At 39.4% G+C, this 23,644-nt stretch overlaps 1 protein-coding gene and 1 pseudogene across 1 annotated transcript in view, besides 1 other annotated feature; both read left to right on the top strand.

Annotated features, from left to right (window-relative positions):
* CNTNAP2 (contactin associated protein 2) overlaps nucleotides 1–23,644 on the top strand; it is a 2,304,198-nt gene that overhangs the window by 1,729,178 nt on the left and 551,376 nt on the right. The gene's annotated exons all lie outside the window — the stretch shown is intronic.
* RNA5SP249 (RNA, 5S ribosomal pseudogene 249) lies at nucleotides 3,906–4,004 on the top strand (annotated as a pseudogene).
* Nucleotides 6,223–6,392: an enhancer, noted in NCBI's record as "experimental_97821 CRE fragment used in MPRA reporter constructs". NCBI's record gives its function as "activates a minimal promoter by MPRAs in K562 erythroleukemia cells, with activity observed for the introgressed 7:147549378 variant allele {active_cell/tissue: K562}" and the evidence as "EXISTENCE:reporter gene assay evidence [ECO:0000049][PMID:34662402]".

The raw sequence follows: 23,644 nt of genomic DNA on the forward strand, positions 1-23,644 counted from the left end.
GTTCTTTTACATTTGCTGAGGAGAGCTTTACTTCCAAGTATGTGGTCAATTTTGGAATAGGTGTGGTGTGGTGCTGAAAAAAATGTATATTCTGTTGATTTGGGGTGGAGAGTTCTGTAGATGTCTATTAGGTCTGCTTGGTGCAGAGCTGAGTTCAATTCCTGGGTATCCTTGTTGACTTTCTGTCTCGTTGATCTGTCTAATGTTGACAGTGGGGTGTTAAAGTCTCCCATTATTAATGTGTGGGAGTCTAAGTCTCTTTGTAGGTCACTCAGGACTTGCTTTATGAATCTGGGTGCTCCTGTATTGGGTGCATAAATATTTAGGATAGTTAGCTCCTCTTGTTGAATTGATCCCTTTACCATTATGTAATGGCCTTCTTTGTCTCTTTTGATCTTTGTTGGCTTAAAGTCTGTTTTATCAGAGACTAGGATTGCAACCCCTGCCTTTTTTTGTTTTCCATTGGCTTGGTAGATCTTCCTCCATCCTTTTATTTTGAGCCTATGTGTGTCTCTGCACGTGAGATGGGTTTCCTGAATACAGCACACTGATGGGTCTTGACTCTTTATCCAACTTGCCAGTCTGTGTCTTTTAATTGCAGAATTTAGTCCATTTATATTTAAAGTTAATATTGTTATGTGTGAATTTGATCCTGTCATTATGATGTTAGCTGGTGATTTTGCTCATTAGTTGATGCAGTTTCTTCCTAGTCTCGATGGTCTTTACATTTTGGCATGATTTTGCAGCGGCTGGTACCGGTTGTTCCTTTCCATGTTTAGCGCTTCCTTCAGGAGCTCTTTTAGGGCAGGCCTGGTGGTGACAAAATCTCTCAGCATTTGCTTGTCTATAAAGTATTTTATTTCTCCTTCACTTATGAAGCTTAGTTTGGCTGGATATGAAATTCTGGGTTGAAAATTCTTTTCTTTAAGAATGTTGAATATTGGCCCCCACTCTCTTCTGGCTTGTAGGGTTTCTGCCGAGAGATCCGCTGTTAGTCTGATGGGCTTTCCTTTGAGGGTAACCCGACCTTTCTCTCTGGCTGCCCTTAACATTTTTTCCTTCATTTCAACTTTGGTGAATCTGACAATTATGTGTCTTGGAGTTGCTCTTCTCGAGGAGTATCTTTGTGGCGTTCTCTGTATTTCCTGAATCTGAACATTGGCCTGCCTTGCTAGATTGGGGAAGTTCTCCTGGATAATATCCTGCAGAGTGTTTTCCAACTTGGTTCCATTCTCCACATCACTTTCAGGTACACCAATCAGACGTAGATTTGGTCTTTTCACATAGTCCCATATTTCTTGGAGGCTTTGCTCATTTCTTTTTATTCTTTTTTCTCTAAACTTCCCTTCTCGCTTCATTTCATTCATTTCATCTTCCATCACTGATACCCTTTCTTCCAGTTGATCGCATCAGCTCCTGAGGCTTCTGCATTCTTCACGTAGTTCTCGAGCCTTGGTTTTCAGCTCCATCAGCTCCTTTAAGCACTTCTCTGTATTGGTTATTCTAGTTATACATTCTTCTAAATTTTTTTCAAAGTTTTCAACTTCTTTGCCTTTGGTTTGAATGTCCTCCCGTAGCTCAGAGTAATTTGATCGTCTGAAGCCTTCTTCTCTCAGCTCGTCAAAATCATTCTCCATCCAGCTTTGTTCTGTTGCTGGTGAGGAACTGCGTTCCTTTGGAGGAGGAGAGGCGCTCTGCATTTTAGAGTTTCCAGTTTTTCTGTTCTGTTTTTTCCCCATCTTTGTGGTTTTATCTACTTTTGGTCTTTGATGATGGTGATGTACAGATGGGTTTTCGGTGTAGATGTCCTTTCTGGTTGTTAGTTTTCCTTCTAACAGACAGGACCCTCAGGTGCAGGTCTGTTGGAATACCCTGCCGTGTGAGGTGTCAGTGTGCCCCTGCTGGGGGGTGCCTCCCAGTTAGGCTGCTCGGGGGTCAGGGGTCAGGGACCCACTTGAGGAGGCAGTCTGCCCGTTCTCAGATCGCCAGCTGCGTGCTGGGAGAACCACTGCTCTCTTCAAAGCTGTCAGACAGGGACACTTAAGTCTGCAGAGGTTACTGCTGTCTTTTTGTTTGTCTGTGCCCTGCCCCCAGAGGTGGAGCCTACAGAGGCAGGCAGGCCTCCTTGAGCTGTGGTGGGCTCCACCCAGTTGGAGCTTCCCGGCTGCTTTGTTTACCTAAGCAAGCCTGGGCAATGGCGGGCGCCCCTCCCCCAGCCTCGTTGCCGCCTTGCAGTTTGATCTCAGACTGCTGTGCTAGCAATCAGCGAGATTCCGTAGGCGTAGGACCCTCTGAGCCAGGTGTGGGATATAGTCTCGTGGTGCGCCGTTTCTTAAGCCGGTCTGAAAAGTGCAATATTCGGGTGGGAGTGACCCGATTTTCCAGGTGCGTCCGTCACCCCTTTCTTTGACTCGGAAAGGGAACTCCCTGACCCCTTGCGCTTCCCAGGTGAGGCAATGCCTCGCCCTGCTTCGGCTCGCACACGGTGCGCACACACACTGGCCTGCGCCCACTGTCTGGCACTCCCTAGTGAGATGAACCCGGTACCTCAGATGGAAATGCAGAAATCACCCGTCTTCTGCGTCACTCACGCTGGGAGCTGTAGACCGGAGCTGTTCCTATTCGGCCATCTTGGCTCCTCCTCCCTTCAGTTGCATTTCAAGTATCTTTTTCTGCTAAGAATTTGGCCTGTCTGAATTTCAAAAGGCATTTGGGCTTCAAACTTTAGTTAATGGTAAAAAAAAAAAATAACTAAATATTTAATTTCCTGAAATAGTTCCAAATTACAGAAACAGAGAGAAAGCTTAAATACCATAGAACAAAAATTCATAGAATAGAATTTATGAATCATGATTCATACACAAAAGACCAAACCTCTCAATGAATAACTGTATTGTTGACAGTTTGGGAGGAATTTTAATTTTGTTTTTTTTTCTCAAATAGTGAGATCAGAGTCGGAAAAGCCTTAACATCTCCATATTAGAGATTCTGTAACTCACATCACTTATGCCAGGCTCCAGCTACGTACTCTGAAAAGTATATTAAATCAGAATGAAAATTGTTCAGTAAAATTTCTCCTAGAGGTATAGTAAATATGATTGATTTAATACATCATTGAGATTCTACTGGAAAAATGGCATAAAACAGCAACATTCTGTTGCCATTTTATAACTTTCATTTTTGTAAAGTGACCATTAGCATAATATAGTAATATCATTATGACAATCTGCACAGATGAAAATATCTCAAGGCCAATATTACATTTTCATCAAGTAAATGACCATGTGTTTCAATAAACACGATTATGAATGTTAATATACCAACAGATTGAGTATTTTCATTTCTCAGCATCATTGTTTGTAGGGGAAAACAAATTAATCATCTTTGAGATAACAGGAGTGTAGACTTTTAGAACATGATCTGTTTCACTACAACTATTCTTGGTTTGCTGAATAAGAGTCAGGATTTTACTCCAGACTGTCCTCATCTGAGGTCATCTTATCTGTCCCCTTCTGAAGTAATCTTGTCATTATGTAAATACCTATGCAGCATTATCAATTTAGAGCCAGATAATTTAAGATGAATCACGTCTTTATTTTGATAAGTATCCACAGGACACCCATTTGTACAGTAGAAACATGCAAAGAAACCTCTTCCTCCTGCCTGTTCTATTGTCTTGGACAATTCCTGAATAAGCTGTTCTCCAGCCCTGCACACCTGCGAGCAGGCCAGGGACTCTGTGGACCCAGCCATGCCCTTTCTGTCACCAAGGCCACATTTGTGGTCAGGAGGCAAGTGAGATGGTCATCACTTTCACTTAAGTCCTTTTTAGCAATAGGCATGTTAGGCATTGGAATGGATGTGCAAGCGAAATGGACACAAACCAAAAATGGAAGAGGCAACCTGTCTATGGCCTTACCATCCCGAATATGCCTGATCTCAGAAGCTAAGCAGGGTTGGTTTGGCTAGTACATGGATGGGAGAAGAGATAACTAGCTGAGACTTCAGTATCTAGCTTATAGGCTGCTTCAGCCTTCAAGCACAGCTTAATTATATGTATTACTGGGGAAGATCCTTTTCTGGAAAGAGGCAACATTTTAAGACCATTCAAGATTAACCTTTACTTGAGCAAAAAGAAATGTTTCTACTTTCAAATGCTTTTTGGTAAAAATCTTTAAAAAATAATAAATGCTTCAAAGAGAATAAAACAGCTAGGAATCCAACTTATAAGGGATGTGAAGGACCTCTTCAAGGAGAACTACAAACCACTGCTCAGCGAAATAAAAGAGGACACAAACAAATGGAAGAACATTCCATGCTCATGGATAGGAAGAATCAATATCGTGAAAATGGCCATACTGCCCAAGGTAACTTATAGATTCAGTGCCATCCCAATCAAGCTACCAATGACTTTCTTCACAGAATTGGAAAAAACTGCTTTAAAGTTCATATGCAACCAAAAAAGAGCCCGCATTGCCAAGACAATCCTAAGCCAAAAGAACAAAGCTGGAGGCATCACACTACCTGACTTCAAACCATACTACACTACAAGGCTACAGTAACCAAAACAGCATGGTACTGGTGCCAAAACAGATATATAGACCAATGGAACAGAACAGAGGCATCAGAAATAACACCACACATCTACAACCATCTGATCTTTGACAAACTTGACAAAAACAAGAAATGGGGAAAAGATTCCCTGTTTAATAAATAGTGCTGGGAAAACTGGCTAGCCATATGTAGAAAGCTGAAACTGGATCCCTTCCTTACACCTTATACAAAAATTAATTCAAGATGGATTAAAGACTTAAATGTTAGACCTAAAACCATAAAAACTCTAGAAGAAAACCTAGGCAATACCATTCAGGACATAGGCATGGGCAAGGACTTCATGTCTAAAACACCAAAAGCAATGGCAACAAAAGCCAAAATTGACAAATGGGATCTAATTAAACTAAAGAGCTTCTGCAGAGCAAAAGAAACTACCAGCAGAGTGAACAGGCAACCTACAGAATGGGAAAAAATTTTTGCAATCTACCCATCTGACAAAGGGCTAATATCCAGAATCTATAAAGAACTCAAACAAATTTACAAGAAAAAACAAACAACCCCATCAACAAGTGGGCGAAGGACATGAACAGACACTTCTCAAAAGAAGACATTTATGCAGCCAACAGACACATGAAAAAATGCTCATCATCACTGGCCATCAGAGAAATGCAAATCAAAACCACAATGAGATACCATCTCACACCAGTTAGAATGGCGATCATTAAAAAGTCAGGAAACAACAGGTGCTGGAGAGGATGTGGAGAAATAGGAACACTTTTACACTGTTGGTGGGACTGTAAACTAATTCAACCATTGTGGAAGACAGTGTGGTGATTCCTCAGGGATCTAGAACTAGAAATACCATTTGACCCAGCCATCCCATTACTGGGTATATACCCAAAGGATTATAAATCATGCTGCTATAAAGACACATGCACACGTATGTTTATTGCAGCACTATTCACAATAGCAAAGACTTGGAACCAACCCAAATATCCATCAATGATAGACTGGATTAAGAAAATGTGGCACATATACACCATGGAATACTATGCAGCCATAAAAAATGTCCTTTGCAGGGCCATGGAGAAGCTGGAAACCATCATTCTCAGCAAACTATCACAAGGACAGAAAACCAAACACCACGTGTTCTCACTCATAGGCGGGAATTGAACAATGAGAACACTTGGACACAGGAAGGGGAACATCACACACCAAGGCCTGTCGTGGGGTGGGGGGAGGGGGGAAGGATAGCATTAGGAGATATACCTAATGTAAATGACGAGTTAATGGGTGCAGCACACCAACATGGCACATGTATACATATGTAATAAACCTGCACGTTGTGCATATGTACCCTAGAACTTAAAATATAATAAATAATAAGAATAATAATAAATTATTTTTCTGATTTGTTTAAAAAAAATCACTGTATTCCTTGGCTGCAGCACAGCAGCAAATGTAGCTAGTATAAGAACTACTTATCCTGGGTCCCAAAATATAGTTGCTTGAAAAAGTCTATATTGCGACCTTAATTTTTAGTGCTTTGCCTCTTTGGGAACTCCAGTGTGAAGAGAGGTATGCACAACCTCACGGTCCTCAGGTTGTTATCACATGGCCGAACACTTTACAACATGAATTCATGAATTATGTAGTTAATTATTACATCAAAGAAGATCTCGCCGCACTTATCACAAACACTCTTAGTTATAGCCCCACAACCTTAATTGTTATTGCCAAGAATTTCTTTCCATCCACTCTTCCTATTTTGCAAACTACAATTACAGAGGAGGTATGAATGAAAAGTTTTCTGTATCATTCCAAAAATATGTTAAGATGTTCTGAAAAGTTCTGATTCCTTGATCTACGAGTGACTTAGCAACATGATTAGATGAGACAAAACCCATAGCTACACATCTTTCTCTAGAAGTCTTAATGTCGACTCTTGACAAAATTTCAGATCCATTCAAAATTTCAAATACGTTAAAATAAAAAAATTAACACTCTAATGTTGAGATTGAGTAGACTATACAAAGCCTTCCTTAAAGATTACATTTTTTGCATTTTCTAGTTTTCATTCATTGCAAGAATGTTTGTAATTGCTCAGTGAATGGCTAATTTCAAATCTGTACCAGGTAATTCTCACATCTCTGTCATCTCACGGCTGACACCTATTGATTTTCTTTCTTTTTCTTTCATTCACTTTGAGATCTTCCTGGTCCTTGACATTGTGAGTGACTCTTGGTTGAAACCTAGACATTTTAGATATTATTTTATGAGACTACGGATCCTCTGCTGGTTGAAACCTAGACATTTAAGATATTATTTTGTAAGACTATGGATCTGCTGCTGTCATCCTCTCTCTGCTTTTCTTTTTCTTCTCCACTTACTCCTACCCCTTTAATCCAGTGCTCAAGTAGGACCAGGGAAACATTAAAAGTTGGCCCACAGATGGAAGGAACATTGTACTTCATGTGTCACATTTAAATTCTCCAGGAAGAAAGGGCTTGTCAATAAAGTGTCTTTTTAAGTCACAGATGGCAGTAAGGCTGTGCTACTCCCACCTTTTCTTTCTATTCATTGTCTCCTAATGTCATTTATTTTCTGAAGTATCTAAGTAGCACCACCACTATCCAAGACTGACAGTCTCCATTTATATTCAATCATAACTCACTAGTGAAGATTAATTGGGGAGGAGACAAGTCTGAATTAGAAATCACCAAAGTAGTATTTTAAAAGAAGTGCAGATTTATTGCATTCAATTCTAGACCTAATTCAGAGACATGGCTAGAACTGTTACGAAGGAAATGTCTTAAACGGCCTGATTTAAAGCATAGAGACAACCCATTTGTACATTAGTAGAAAGTAATGTGTTTTAAATCTTTAACAATGGTTTTCTTGAGTAGATTAACTACCGCTTTAAAAATCCTATTTATTTATCTCCTACACTAAGTAAATTTCAACACAACCCTTTTCTGAATTTTCACAAATACTACAGGAGAGGAATCTAAATTAGAAGCTCGATTATATATGTTATTTCTGTTTAAAAGGCACTAATTAAGCTGCTTTGCCCTGTGAGCACTAGAATTTGGGTTGGCACAGTCATTTCATAATCTGAACTCTAACACAATTATTTCTGGATGAACCATTGCCATAAAATTTAACAGGCTATATTAGCTGTTGGTTGGCATTGATGATCTATAAATACTAACCTTTATCTCTTGATATTTTTTCTCATTCTTTTTTATGGTTAATTTAGAATTTCACTGATTAGGCATTTGCTTATATAAAGTGCTTTGTTAAGACTCAAAACATTTTTAAGCATGTTTATGCTGCAAAGTGAATGAGTGTTGCAAAGTTTGACTTAGTGTAGAAAGATTGTAAGACTAGAAGTTACTTTTAGAAAACCTAAACTATCTTGTAGAAAAATTATCTCACGGTTTTTAAAAATGGCGTTCAAAATTCAGAGAGAACAATTCAAGCTTGTTGCTAGTGGAAAGTTAACAGTGGTTTAGATCAGTTGTACACACTGTGCAAGATGTTTATGTGCTGACAGCTTGTGTGCCTACCTCCACATCAATTCGGCCATTATACCAGCTAATTCTTCTATCTAGGATTCATAACATAAAAATGTGCTTCCTCTTTCTGAGGGAAAGTTGACTATGGGTAGAGAAGAGTTGCCGTTATTTCACCTTGAAGAATAACAATATAAGCTCATGTGCAATGAAATAGCAGACTTATTGGAAATGATTACTAGCTTCTTGAAAGCAAAGAAGTATATATTTTTTAACTTCATAAGGATTTAGAAGTTGATCATTCATCATCCCCTTCTGCACTCTGAGTGCTGAACCAACTGAAAAAGAGATGGAAGCAAGTGTCAGACAGAAATCAAAACAGTAGCTCAGACTGTGTTTCTCTTGTGACATAGGCCCTTCAAACCCTACTTTTTGAAAGAGTGGCTAGGATACATGAAGTCATTACAGTATCAACTGCATACCCACAACATTTAGAAAATATAAAACTCCCCAGCCCCTACTTCAAGGTTATGTTCTCAGAACCAGATATATAGTGCAGTCTAGCCCTGCATCATCCAGCACAGTGGTTCCTAGCCACATGTGACTGTTGAGCACTCGTAATATGGCTACTGTGACAGAGGAATTGAATTTTCATTGTGTTTTAATTAATTTAAAATTATATTTAAAAACTGATTCTCAATTCACTATTGGAAGACTTTGAAGTCTACTTGAAACAATTTCAGGTATGTGCATCTACTTTTTCAACCATAAGCTACATGGAACCTAAGTATAAATTAGTTATTTCTAATTAGAATAATTAATTCCATTAAAATGAAAAGGCCAAATTGAGATATGCTCTCAGTACAAAATACATAAGAATTTTGAAGACACCGCCCAAGAAAGAGAATATAAAATAGCCCATTTATAATTGTTTACATGTTGAAAGAATTGTATTTTGGATATACAGGATTAAATAAAACACGAAAATTGACTTTTAAAAATTCATCTGTTTCTTTTTACTTCTTTAACACGATTACTAGAAAATGTTTAATTACATATGCGGCTCACATTGTATTTCTATTAGACTCACTCTACTAGAGTGTGATGTAGATTCACCCTCTAGTTGGTGTGTAAAAGTCATGGTGGAGATTTCATTGTATCTAGGGGAAGAAGAACAAACTAATGAAGGGGGAGAAGGAGAAAACCTTCTGACTCCCAGGAAGCCAACTGGTCTGGGCCAGTTTGTGTCTCTGCATGACTTCTGAGCCTGAACTTAAGTGGAAGAAATCTCCCACCAAGAAGTTACTTACATTGCCAGGTGTTTGTTTCTTCTCAGACCTAGGATTACTGAGCTCTGAGTGTCATCTTACCTGGATGCTTCTTCTCCTACTCTTGTTTATTAAAAGCTGTTACTTCTCTAGGCTTTGATTAACATTAACTATTAAAATTACAGTGTAGGCTCGGCATGGTGGCTCACACCTATAATCCCAGCACTTTGGGAGGCCAAAGTGGACAGATCACGTGAGATCAGGAGTTTGAGACCAGTCTGGCCAACATGGTAAAACCCGGTCTCTACTAAAAAAAAAATAAGTACAATTGCAAAACAAATAAATAAATAAATCTGCAGTGTAAAACTCTCTTTTACTCTCTATTTTCCTATTGCAACATAATTCAGCTTTCCCTGGGTAGCCATTCCTTAATCCTAGGTGAGAAAAAATATATATTAAAGATGAAACATCTACTAATGCCCAGCCCTGCAAAAAACTTATACTCCCATTTCTGGTGGAGGCAACATTGAAGGTTGGCTCTCTGGTGTCTAAAAAGATGTTCTGCCCATGTCGATTTGAACACCTATTTTTTGTAAAAGGCCTTGCCCTTTCCACATGGACTATGAAGGACCCACAGAAGTGAAACTGTGTCCCCAGTCTAAACTCCCTGGGAGAACCTCTCCTGACTCAATAAAGAATTGGTTTTTCTGCCCAAGAACAGAGCTCTGCTTGATTAGTTTGAGGTCGAGGAGACCACCTGGATCACCAAGATAAATGCTTTTTCTTGCTAACCCAACGCAGAAACAGGTACATTTCTCAGTTCTTCAACCGGCCGACCCTGCTGCCTCCTGGAGCCCATATAGGGTTTCTTGTTCAGCCATAGTTCTAGACCTTGGCTGCATTTTGGAATCACCTTTCTAGTCTCGAGCATAAAATAAGGCCCAGAGCCCAGGCCAGACTCACTACATGAGCATTTTCAGCTACTAAGGAGAACTTGAAGAAAAGAAATTGGCCAAGCAGCGGACTCATGTGTGCCCTGGCACTTTTCCTATCTCACTAATCGCCCTTCTCATATCATAACTCACCCTTCTCATGAAAAAATAGAATGAATAAATGTGGACGGGGAAATGCCGAAACACCCTCCTCATAACTTGCACACGAATCCTCCTCTATGTTCGAAGGCAGGGAAAGAGAGAAAATGGTACCAAAGATAGCCTGTGTGCAGTACTTGAGGCAAGGCTTTGCATGTTTCAAGCGCCCAATACTTATCTGTTGACACAAAGAGTGCCGTAATTATGTTAGAATTAGTTTGGCTTTTTTTTTTTTTCTGCTCTAGAAACATTTTGTTCGTATAAGTCAAAAATTAGAAAGAAAGTTTGGAATTTAATTTCTTATCAGGCAATAGCCAAGGGAAAATATTTCTGTTAAAGGAGTAATCATACAGAACAGCTAAAATTCCAGGAATAATAAAACTCAGGAAATTTTGGGGGGAGTGGGGTGGTTAGGTTTTGGAAAATATTTGTCAGTAATATTTGAAAATCCAGATCTTCCTTAAAAGTCTACAGATTTGAGTGTACCCCTCACCCAAGGAAATCTGTCTCAAGAGACAGAATCAGTCCATTTTTCAGGGTTCCCCAGGAAAGTTTGTCACAGCCAGACATAAATGTGATGAAAGGCAGGAAAGGGAGAGACAGAGGCTGGGACAAAGAAGATGACAGACTTTATTGGTAACATTAGGCCAGAATGATAACCATAACCCAGGCTGTGTTTTCAAAGTTGTTGTTGTAAACTAAATGTTTTGGTATATTTGTCAGAACTTTTTATCTTGGTTAGTTTAATTAAAATAAAGTCGGTAGCCAAAATAAAATTATGTAAAGGTTAATCAGGATGTTTCCTGTATTTTTTGACATAAACCAAATTAAGTAGTTATTTTTCTAACACATGGAATTCTTACATTTGTCTCCGTGCAAGATGTATGTTAATGTTAGTTGTTTTACTACATTTGAAATTCAGTCTTTTAAAATGGGTTTTCTCTGTTCTCCTCCAAGGCTATTTGAGCATCTAAATATCTACATATTACATGGCTGTTGGCAAAAGTTTTCAAATGCTATTCACTCAATTTGAAAAAAATTTGCACTTCTTATAAAGCTAGTATGAATGTGACTCTAAAATCTCACCAATTGGCACTAATCAGGTTCATCATCAAAATAAACCTGATAAATATTAAAACTAAATTGTTGAGTTGGTTTTGTAATGTCAGGATTTTCAAGACAACAAATGGCCAAGAACTTGGCGTCAGAGGAAGTCCTGCTTTCGGTTGATTCTTGATGCTGATTGAGAACAGGCCTCCTAAGCACTGATGGGAATATTTGCCTCTAAGAAGTACAGCCCATTTACCACTTAGAAGCTAAAGTTCAGAAATAAAACTCTGACACAACAAAATATCAATAAAGCCAGATAGAGCACTAGAAAAATTCGTAAATCTCTAATATGAATATACATCTCTAATACAAATTACATTCAAGCAACAGTGATTTGCCTCGGCTGCAAGTAATTATGTACCTATTGTTAAAATAGTGTGAGTCACAGCAAGAACATGGACAATATCAATTCCCTTCAGAGACTGGACTCTGTGAAGCCTTTCCAGTTCTAACTACACAGTACGATCTTTTTAAAACTATCAGCTTTGCACTCATTTCAGACCCAAGTATGTTGAACTGGATGAGGTATTACTTTCAAGGACAAGGACTGGACGTTAATCAAAATGAAAATACTCTTTTTTTCTTTTTTGAGATGGAGTCTCACTCTGTTGCCCAGGCTAGAGTGCAGTGGCGTGATCTTGGCTTACTGCAACCTCCACCTCCTGGGTGCAAGCAATTCTCTGCCTCAGCCTCCTGAGTATCTGGGATGACAGGCGCCTGCCACCATGCCCAGCTAACTTTTGTATTCTTAGTAGAGACAGGGTTTCATCATACTGGCCAGGCTGGTCTCCAATTCCTGACCTCAGGTGATCCGCCTGCCTCGGCCTCCCAAAGTGCTGGGATGACAGGCGTAAGCCACTGCGCCCGGCCTAATCAAAATGAAAATACTTTCAACATGGAAATAAAGCTTTCCAGTGCTAAAGCTTCTGTTTTCTTAGAGCAAAAGAGCTCCACTAAGAAGAAAACTGAATGTTATTGAGATGTTGTTTAATAAGTTCCTGGTATGTAGATTGAATTGTGTCACTGCCAAAGAAGATAGGTTGAATTCTTAACTCCTGGAATCTGTGAATGTGACCTTATTTGGGAGTTGCAGATGTAATCAAGTTCGGATGAGGTCATACTGAAGTAAAGTGGGCCCTAATTCAATGACTGGTATCCTCATAAGAAAGACATGTAGACATAGCCACACAGGGAGGGCGCCAGGTGAGGACAAAGTTAGAGTCTAAAAGCTACGTGTACAAGCCAAGAGGAATTAAGGATTGCTGGCAACTACCAGGAACTAGTAAGATGCATGGAAATATTCTCCCCTAGAGACTTCAGAGAGAGAGCACAGCCCTGCTGGCACCTGCATTTTGGACTTTTAGTCTCCAGAACTGTGAGAAAATTAAGTTATTTTGTTTGAAGCTACCCAGTTTATGGTAATTTGTTTCGGCAACCCTGGGAAACTTCTATATAAGGCTATGTCAGAACTCCTCTTATCTCTTAGGAAACCAAAGTTCTATCCTTAAGCGAATATAAGATGTAAGTTCACAGATAACTCAGAATGTCCTCCCGCTTCTCAAGAACTAGTCCTGGGTTTGCATTATCCTTATAAATGCCCTAAGATGATTTTTTCAAGCATATGTTACCAAGAAGTAGGGAAGTTTCAGCATTAACAATACATAGCTTCGTAACAATTAGCCATCTGTTTATAATGCTGTTAGGGATCGACAGCATCTCAATGGAAGCAGGGAAAACAACAGAAATATCATATCTGCCAAGTTCTAGTCATCTGTTATGTTACATAGTAATTTGTCATCTCATGAGATCACCAAGGAGAGAAAAAAGCCATGCCGTGCTACAAAATAAACTCTGTAAAGCAGGTAGTTTAATAGCAAATTAATGATGTGCTGACAAGATCAAGACCAAAAAAAAAAAAAAAAAACATGTCATATTTTCTGCAGTGCAGCTAATAATGCAAGTTTGTAAGCTGTCTCACAAGAAGGTAGTATTTATTTTTTCCAAGGAGCTATTTGAAAACCAGAGAGTTAACATATTTTAAGACAGTTTTCCTCAATGTCAGTTTATTTTAAATATTACTAGAGTTCAGATATTATCTTGCTATCACTCTTAATATCCATCTTAATTATGGGAGTCCCTGTGGTAAAGTCTAACCTCTTTCAATCTCATCTCTTGACTTGATGATTCATTTCAAAGAATGTGTTAGTACAATGGGGCTTCTTCTCAAGAGCAAAGTAACTTTGAATAAAATTTACAAAAGTAAAAGAAATAAAGCAGATGGCAAATATTGCCCACAGAATTGGTTATAGTATCATTATCCATTAAGAAATGAATTTTGTACAATAGATGATTTAGGTCTTACTTATCTGTCTCTCATAAATATGTATATATGCAATATTAAGATAGATATACTGATATTGCAAACTGGCAATAAAAAAGGTGGCTTTAATATTTCGTATGGTTTGGCTCTGTGTCCACACCCAAACCTCATCCTGAATTGTAATTTCCATGTGTCAAGGGAGGGACCTGGTGGGAGGTGATTGGGTCATGGGGGCGGTTTCCCCCATGCTGTTCTCAGGATGGTGAGTGAGTTCTCACAAAATCTAATACTTTGAAGGGATTTGGAGACTGGGTGCAGTGGCTCATGCCTGTAATCTCAACACTTTGGAAGGCCAAGGTGGGCAGATCACCTGAGGTCAGGAGTTTGAGACCAGCCTGAACAACATGCTGAAACCCCATCTCTACTAAAAATACAAAAATTAGCTGGGCACGGTGGTCTGCGCCTGTAATCCCAGTGTTCAGGAGGCTGAGGCAGAAGAATCGTTTGGACCAAGGAGGTGGAGATTGCAGTGAGCAGAGAACACACCACTGCACTCCAACCTGGGCAACAGAGTGAGACTCCGTCTCAACAACAACAAAAAAAATTAGCCATGTGTGGTGGTGGGTGTCTATAATCCCAGCTACTCGGGAAGCTGAGGCATGAGAATCACTTGAACCCAGGAGGCAGAGGTTGTGGTGAGCCGAGATCACACCACTGCACTCCAGCCTAGGCAACAGAGTGAGACTCTGTCTCAAAAAAAAAAAAAAGTGTTTGGCAGTTTCCTCCTTGCTCTCTCTCTCTCTTTCCTGCCACCATGTAAGACATGCCTTGATTCCCCTTCTACTTCTGCCATGACTGTAAATTTCCTGATGCCTCCTCAGCCATGAGGAACTGGGAGTCAACTAAACCTCTTTCTTTATAAATTACCGAGTCTCAGGTCATTCATGGCAGTGTGAAAATGCACTAATACAATATTTGGAAACTCTATGCAACAATACAGGGTTCATATATTGTCCAGCCTGAATTAAAGTGCTATGTGTTATCTCTCCTATCAAACTATCTTTAAGATGATGACAAAGGGATTTCAGGTGACAACTTGGAATGAAAGATACTGACCCACTGTTTGCTTTCCTGTAGCTTTTCCTCAAGTGGATAAAAACAATTACAGCTTTTTTTCACTAGTCTACTAAATTGAACTCTTAATATCACCCCAGCTGCTTTTCTTGTAGGTGTTCCTTTCTATGTCAACCACACTTCTGTTTGTGATAAGGATTTTCACCTCATCTGATGAAAAGAGCAGTCTACTGTGAGAAAGAACTAAGCTTCTACTCCCAAAGCACAAGCAGTTTCTGTCAAAGCAGGAATACAAATATGGTCCCTTGGAACCTAGCCCATTGCCTTTCCAACATAATGGTGGTTATTGAGCCATCAGACCATGCTTTCAGCAGATACTTGAACTTCCACTGTGTATGAATCATTATATTAGTGTAATAGAGCTGTAGAGATAAATAAGACCTAGCCCATGCTTATAAATGCCTCATAACACAAAGGACAGAGAAATTATGCATAAATAAATGCAAAATAAATGCAGATAAATCTCCATGGCTGTTCAGTTACACAGGCATCCAACACATCCATTGAGTATTTACCACATACCAACTTTGTCCTAAAGACTGATGATGACACAAATTGAACCAGATTTAGGCAACCACCAATCTCACAAAGTTTGCAATCCAATTAGAAGAGAAAAGAATTTAAAACAGCCATTGCATTATAGAATCATTAATGCAATGAAAGGAAGATTCCCAAGTACTAAGAGAAGGCAACGCTGGGACACCTAGCCTAATCTAAAGGGCCCAAAATAAATATCCTTAAAGTGGCATATAAATTAAGACATTACCAAGTGTGGTGGCTCATGGCTGTAATCCCAGCACTTTGGGAGGCTGAGGCATGAGGATCGCTTGAGGTCAGGAGTTCGAGAGCAGCCTGGGCAACATGGTAAAACCCCATGTCTAATAAAAATATAAAAATTACCTGGGCATGGTGGTGTACTCGGGAGGCTAAGGTGGAAGAATTGTTCGAACCCAGGAGGCAGAAGTTGCAGTGAGCCAGGATCGTGCCATTGCACTCCAACTTGGGCAATAGAGTGAAACTCCATCTCACAAAAAAAAAAAAAAAAAAAAAAAATTAAGACACGAAGGATAGGAGTTAGTTAGCCAATATGGTATTTTGTGGTAATGCAGCTATAATCTAATCACCGATGAAACAGTATTCCAGCAAACCACTTCAAGGAAGCTTTGAAAACCGACCACATCCTTTTGGCCTGTCCATCATCAAAAAAGATAATAGCCCGACAAACCATGGGTTATAAAATGCCTGACACATAACTGTGATTACAGCATTAGAGGTTTAAAATGCAACTAGGAAAACTTGAAAATATAAGCACCAATTTCAAATCACTAGTCATTTGCATCAATTTCAACCATTCCCCCGTACTCCTCCAAGCATTCTATTTGGCTTGTGTCGTATCCAAGACCATCCGAAATCACAGAATAAATTTCCTATAACATGCATCTTTCGTGTGCATAATAATGCATACTAACAATTTACAATTTGTTATAATGTCCTATAATGTACTTCTTTATTGCATCTGTGTGACTAAAGAGGGCAGTCGGGAGAAAATCTAATAGGAGAACTTCCTAGGGTTGAGGTTCTTCAGCTTAAAATCTTTATAACTGGGACCCCTTACATTAGCACTCAGCTTTGGCCAGTATGTCTGAGACCACTCATATATATATACATATATACACACACACACATATACACATACACACACATATGATTGTTTTGTCATTGTACCTTGTAAAAAGGTATTTGTTACCAAAATGATAAAAGGAAGTGAACTTTAAAAAATACATGTCTTATTACTGTCATTTGGAGTATTCCTCAAACCACTGATTGTATATGATATAGCTACCTCTAGGAATTCAAGCTCAAGTTATTCACAACACTAAAGATACAAACTGATTTCCAAAGGTATTATCCAAGAAATTAACCGTTTATAAGGGAAGCAAAGTATCTTTCCATTTCTTTTATATTTTTATATATATATATTTTAAGTTCTAGGGTACATGTTCACAACGTGCAGGTTTGATACAGAGGTATACATATGCCATGTTGGTTTGCTCCACCCATCAACTCGTCATTTATTTTAGGTATTTCTCCTAATGCTATTCCTCCCCCAGGCCCCCACTCCCTGACAGGCCCCAGTGTGTGATGTTCCCTGCCCTGTGTCCAAGTGTTCTCATTGTTCATTTCCCACCTATAAGTGAGAACATGTGGTGTTTGGTTTTCTGTCCTTGTGATAGTTTGCTGAGAATGATGGTTTCCAGCTTCTCCACGGCCCTGCAAAGAACATGAACTCATCCTTTTTTATGACTGCGTAGTATTCCATGGGGTATATATGCCATATTTTCTTAATCCAATCTATCATTGATGGACATTTGGGTTGGTTCCAAGTCTCTGCTATTGTGAAGAGTGCCACAATAAACATACGTGTGCATGTGTCTTTACAGGAGCATGATTTATAATCCTTTTGGTATATACCCAGTAATGGGATCACTGGGTTAAATGGTATTTCTAGTTCTAGATCCTTAAGGAATTACCGCACTGTCTTCCACAATGGTTGAACTAATTTAGACTCCCACCAACAGTGTAAAAGCATTTCTATTTCTCCACATCCTTTCCAGCATCTGTTGTTTCCTGACTTTTTAATGATCACCATTCTAACTGGTGTGAGATGGTATCTCATTGTAGTTTTGATTTGCATTTCTCTGATGGTCAGTGATGATGAGCATTTTTTCATGTGTCTGTTGGCTGCAGAAATATCTTGTTTTGAGAAGTGTCTGTTAATATCCTTTGCCCGCTTTTTGATGGGGTTGTTTTTTTTCTTGTAAATTTGTTTCAGTTCTTCGTAGATTCTGGATATTAGCCCTTTGTCAGATGGGTAGATTGCAAAAATTTTCTCCCATTCTGTAGGTTGCCTGTTCACTCCAATGATAGTTTCTTTTGCCATGCAGAAGCTCTTTGGTTTAATCACATCTGATTTGTCTATTTTGGCTTTTGTTGCCATTGCTTTTGGTGTTTTAGACATGAAGTCCTTGCCCATGCCTATGTCCTGAATGGTATTGCCTAGGTTTTCTTCTGGGGTTTTTATGGTTTCAGGTCTAACATTTAAGTCTTTAATCCATCTTGAATTAATTTTTGTATATGATGTAAAGAAAGGATCCAGTTTCAGCTTTCTACATATGGCTAGCCAGTTTTCCCAGCACCATTTATTAAATAGGGAATCCTTTCCCCATTTCTTGTTTTTGTCAGGTTTGTCAAAGATCCAATGGTTATAGATGTGTGGTGTTATTTCTGATGCCTCTGTTCTGTTCCATTGGTCTATATATCTGTTTTGGCACCAATACCATGCTGTTTTGGTTACTGTAGCCTTGTAGTATAGTTTGAAGTCAGGTAGCATGATGCCTCCAGTTTTGGTCTTTTGGCTTAGGATTTTCTTGGCAATGAGGGGTCTTTTTTGCTTCCATATGAACTTTAAAGTAGTTTTTTCCAATTCTGTGAAGAAAGTCATTGGTAGCTTGATGGGGATGGCATTGAATCTGTAAATTACCTTGGGCAGTATGGCCATTTTCATGATATTGATTCTTCCTATCCATGAGCATGGAATGTTCTTCCATTTGTTTGTGTCCTCTTTTATTTCATTGAGCAGTGTTTTGTAGTTCTCCTTGAAGAGGTCCTTCACATCCCTTGTAAGTTGGATTCCTGGGTATTTTATTTTCTTTGAAGCAATTGTGAATGGGAGTTCACTCATGATTTGGCTCTCTGTTTGTCTGTTATTGGTGTATAGGAATGCTTGATTTTTGCACATTGATTTTGTATCCTGAGACTTTGCTGAAGTTGCTTATCAGCTTAAGGAGATTTGGGGCTGAGACGATAGGGTTTTCTAAATATACAATCATGTCATCTGCAAACAGGGACAATTTGACTTCCTCTTTTCCTAATTGAATGCCCTTTATTTCTTTCTCCTGCCTGATTGCCCTGGCCATAATTCCCAACACTATGTTGAATAGGAGTGATGAGAGAAGACATCCTTGTCTTGTGCCAGTTTTCAAAGGGAATGCTTCCAGTTTTTGCCCATTCAGTATGATATTGGCTGTGGGTTTGTCATAAATAGCTCTTATTATTTTGAGATACGTTCCATCAATACCTAGCTTATTGGGAGTTTTTAGCAGGAAGGGCTGTTGAATTTTGTCAAAGGCCTTTTCTGCATCTATTGAGATTATCATGTGTTTTTTGTCATTGATTCTGTTTATGTGATGGATTACATTTATTGATTTGCATATGTTGAACCAGCCTTGCATCCCAGGGATGAAGCTGACTTGATCATGGTGGATAAGCTTTTTGATATGCTGCTGGATTCGGTTTGCCAGTATTTTATTGAAGATTTCCCCATCGATGCTTACCAGGGATATTGGTCTAAAATTCTCTTTTTTTGTTGTCTCTCTGCCAGCCTTCGGTATCAGGATCATGTTGGCCTCATAAAGTGAGTTAGGGAGGATTCCTTCTTTTTCTATTGATTGGAATAGTTTCAGAAGGAATGATACCAGCTCCTCTTTGTACCTCTGGTAGAATTCGGCTGTGAATCTGTCTGGTTCTGGACTTTTTTTGATTGGTAGGCTATTAATTATTGCCTCAATTTCAGAGCCTGTTATTGGTCTATTGAGAGATTCAATTTCTTCCTGGTTTAGTGTTGGGAGGGTGTATGTGTCCAGGAATCTATCCATTTCTTCTAGATTTTCTAGTTTATTTGCGTAGAAGTGTTTATAGTATTCGCTAATGATAGTTTTTATTTCTGTGGGATCGGTGGTGATATCCCCTTTATAATTTTTTATTGCATCTATTTGATTCTTCTCTGTTTTCATTAGTCTTGCTAGTGGTCTATCAATTTTGTTGATCTTTTCAAAAAACCAGCTCCTGGTTTCATTGATTTTTTGAAGGGTTTTTTTGTGTCTCTATCTCTTTCAGTTCTGCTCTGATCTTAGTTATTTCTTGCCTTCTGCTAGCTTTTGAATGTGTTTGCTCTTGCTTCTCTAGTTCTTTTAATTGTGATGTTAGGATGTCGATTTTAGATCTTTCCTGCTTTCTCTTGTGGGCATTTAGTGCTATAAATTTCCCTCTATACACTGCTTTAAATGTGTCCCAGAGATTCTGGTACGTTGTGTCTTTGTTCTCATTGGTTTCAAAGAACATCTTTATTTCTGCCTTCATTTCGTCATGTACCCAGTAGTCATTCAGGAGCAGGTTGTTCAGTTTCCATGTAGTTGTGTGATTTTGAATGAGTTTCTTAATGCTGAGTTCTAAATTGATTGCACTGTGGTCTGAGAGACTGTTGTCATTTCTGTTCTTTTCTATTTGCTGAGGAGTGTTTTACTTCCAATTTTGTGGTCATTTTTAGAATAAGTGTGATGTGGTGCTGAGAAAAATGTGTATTCTGTTGATTTGGGGAGGAGAGTTCTGTAGATGTCTATTAAGTCTGCTTAATGCAGAGCTGAGTTCAAGTCCTGGATATCCTTGTTAACCTTCTGTCTCATTGATCTGTCTAATATTGACAGTAGGGTGTTAAAGTCTCCCATTATTATTGTGTGGGAGTATAAGTCTCCTTGTAGGTCTCTAAGGACTTGCTTTGTGAATCTGGGTGCTCCTGTTTTGGTTGGGTGCGTATATATTTCGGATAGTTAGCTCTTCTTTTTGAATTGCTCCCTTTACCATTATGAAATGGCCTTCTTTGCCTCTTTTGATCTTTGTTGGTTTAAAGTCTGTTTTATCAGAGACTAGGATTGCAACCCCTGTTTTTTTTTTGTTTTTTGTTGTTGTTGTTGTTTTGCTTTCCATTTGCTTGGTAGATCTTCCTCCATCCCTTTATTTTGAGCCTATGTACGTCTTTGCATGTGAGATGGGTCTCCTGAATACAGCACGCTGATAGGTCTTGACTCTTTATCCAATTTGCCAATATGTGTCTTTTAACTGGGGCTTTTAGCCCATTTACATTTAAGGTTAATATTGTTATGTGTGAATTTGACCCTCTCATTATTATGTTAGCTGTTTATTTTGCTCATTAATTGATGCAGTTTCTTCACAGCATCGATGGTCTTTACCACTTGGCATGTTTTTGTAGTGGATGATACCGGTTGTTTCTTTCCATGTTTAGTGCTTCCTTCAGGAGCTCTTGTAGGGCAGGCCTGGTGGTGACAAAATCTCTCAGCATTTGCTTGTGTGTAAAGGATTTTATTTCTGCTTCACTTATGAAGCTTATTTTGGCTGGATATGAAATTCTGGGTTGAAAATTCTTTTCTTTAAGAACGTTGAATATTGACCCCAACTCTCTTCTGGCTTTTGGGTTTCTGCTGAGAGATCCGCTGTTTGTCTGATGGGCTTCCCTTTGTGGGTAACCCGACCTTTCTTTCTGGCTGCCCTTAATATTTTTTATTTCATTTCAACCTTGGTGAATCTGACGGTTATGTACCTTGGAGTGGCTCTTCTTGAGGAGTATCTTTGTGATGTTCTCTGTATTTCCTGAATTTGAATGTTGACCTGCCTTGCTAGGTTGGGGAAGTTCTCCTGGATAATATCCTGAAGAGTGTTTTCCAACTTGGTTGTATTCTCCCCATTACTTTTAGGTACACCAATCAAACGTAGATTTGGTCTTTTCACATAGTCCCATGTTTCTTGGAGGCTTTCTTCATTTCTTTTTACTCTCTTTTCTCTAACCTTGTCATCTCACTTTATTTCATTAATTTGATCTTCAGTCACTAATAACCTTTCTTCTACTTGATCGAATCAGCTGTTGAAGATTGTGCATGCATCACAAAGTTCGCGTGCCATGGTTTTCAGCTCCATCAGGTCATTCAAGGTTTTCTCCACACTGTTTATTATAGTTAGCCATTCGTCTAGCCTTTTTTCAAGGTTTTTAACTTCCTTGCAATGTGTTAGAACATGCTCCTTTAGCTCAGAAGTTTGTTATTATCAACCTTCTGAAGCCTACTTCTGTCAGCTTGTCAATGTCATTCTCTGTCCAGCTTTGTTCTGTTGCTGGCAAGGAGCTGCAATCTTTTGGAGGAGAAGAGGTGCTCTGATTTTTAGAATTTTCGGTTTTTCTGCTCTGGTTTCTCCCCATCTTTGTGGTTTTATCTACCTTTGGTCTATGTGATGGTGACCTACAGATGGGGTTTTGGTGTGGATATCCTTTTTGTTGATGTTGATGCTATTCCTTTCTGTTTGTTAGTTTTCCGTCTAATAGTCAGGTCCCTCAGCTGCAGTTCTGTTGGAGTTTGCTGGTGGTCCACTCCAGACCCTGTTTTCTTGGGTATCACCAGCAGAGGCTGCAAAACAGCAAATATTGCAGAACAACAAATATTGCTGCATGATCCTTCCTCTGGGAGCTTCATCCCAGAGGGGTGCCTGCCTATATGAGGTGTCTGTCGGCCCATACTGGGAGGTGTCTCCCAGTTAGGCTACACAGGGGTCAGGGACCCACTTGAGGAGGCAGTCTGTCCATTCTCAGAGCTCAAACACTGTGCTGGGAGAACCACTGCTCTCTTCAGAGCTGTCAGACAGGGATGTTTAAGTCTGCAGAAGTTGTCTGCTGCCTTTTCTTGAGCTATGCCCTGCCCACAGAGGTGGAGTCTATAGAGGCAGTAGGCCTTGCTGAGCTGTGGTGGGCTCTACCCAGTTCGAGCTTCCTGGCCACTTCGTTTACCTACTCAAGCCTCAGCAATGGTGGACACCCCACCCACAGCCAGGCTGCTGCCTTGCAGTTTGATCTCAGACTGCTGCGCTAGCAGTGAGCAAGGCTCCATGGGCATGGGACCCTCCAAGCCAGGCATGGGAAAGGTTCTCCTTGTCTGCCGGTTGCTAAGACCTTGGGAAAAGTGCAGTATTTGGTCAGAAGTGTCCTATTTTTCCAGGTACAGTCTGTCACGGCTTCCCTTGGCTAGGAAAGGGAAATCCCCTGACCCCTTGCACTTCCCAGGTGAGGCAACGCCTGCCCTACTTCAGCTCACCCTCCATGGGCTGCACCCACTGTCCAATCAGTCCCAGTGCGATGAACCAGGTACTTCAGTTGGAAATGCAGAAATCATCCATCTTCTGCATCGATCACACTGGGTGCTGCGGACCAGAACTGTTCCTCTTCGGCCGTCTTGGAATGGAGCTCTATCTTTCCATTTCAATGCAGCCACTTTAGCAGTTCTCTTAAAGCTGAAAATATATAGAAAAAGATAAAACCTTTCAACAGCTACAGTGATCCTGAAGTAAATTACTGTGTATATGACACAGTGCATTATCAAATTGTTGCTGCATCAGCATGTCATTTTCAAAATGAAAACAAGTCTATTAAAGTGCATATCGAAGGTATAAAGTAGGATGATAGTGTATAGTTTGATCATGAGATATTGCTTGCAGTGTAAGTTTCATAGAAGAAAAATGGTTTGAGAAAATGGATCAAAGGGAAATCTCCAAGTTGACAACAATGTGTTAAGAGAATGAGAATTTCAAAGTACAACTACTGAAAAAGCCAAATTTATGCAGACAAAGTGAAAAAGAAATGAATCAACCCTGGAAGAGGGAGAATCAGCACATCACCGTCAAGGAAAACAAGTACAAGAATAAATGGATGTTAATTTCAGCTCACAAGACAGTAGTAATTTCAAAATAACTAAGGAA

Source organism: Homo sapiens, chromosome 7 (genome assembly GCF_000001405.40).
Source record: "Homo sapiens chromosome 7, GRCh38.p14 Primary Assembly".
Taxonomy (NCBI): Eukaryota; Metazoa; Chordata; class Mammalia; order Primates; family Hominidae; genus Homo; species Homo sapiens.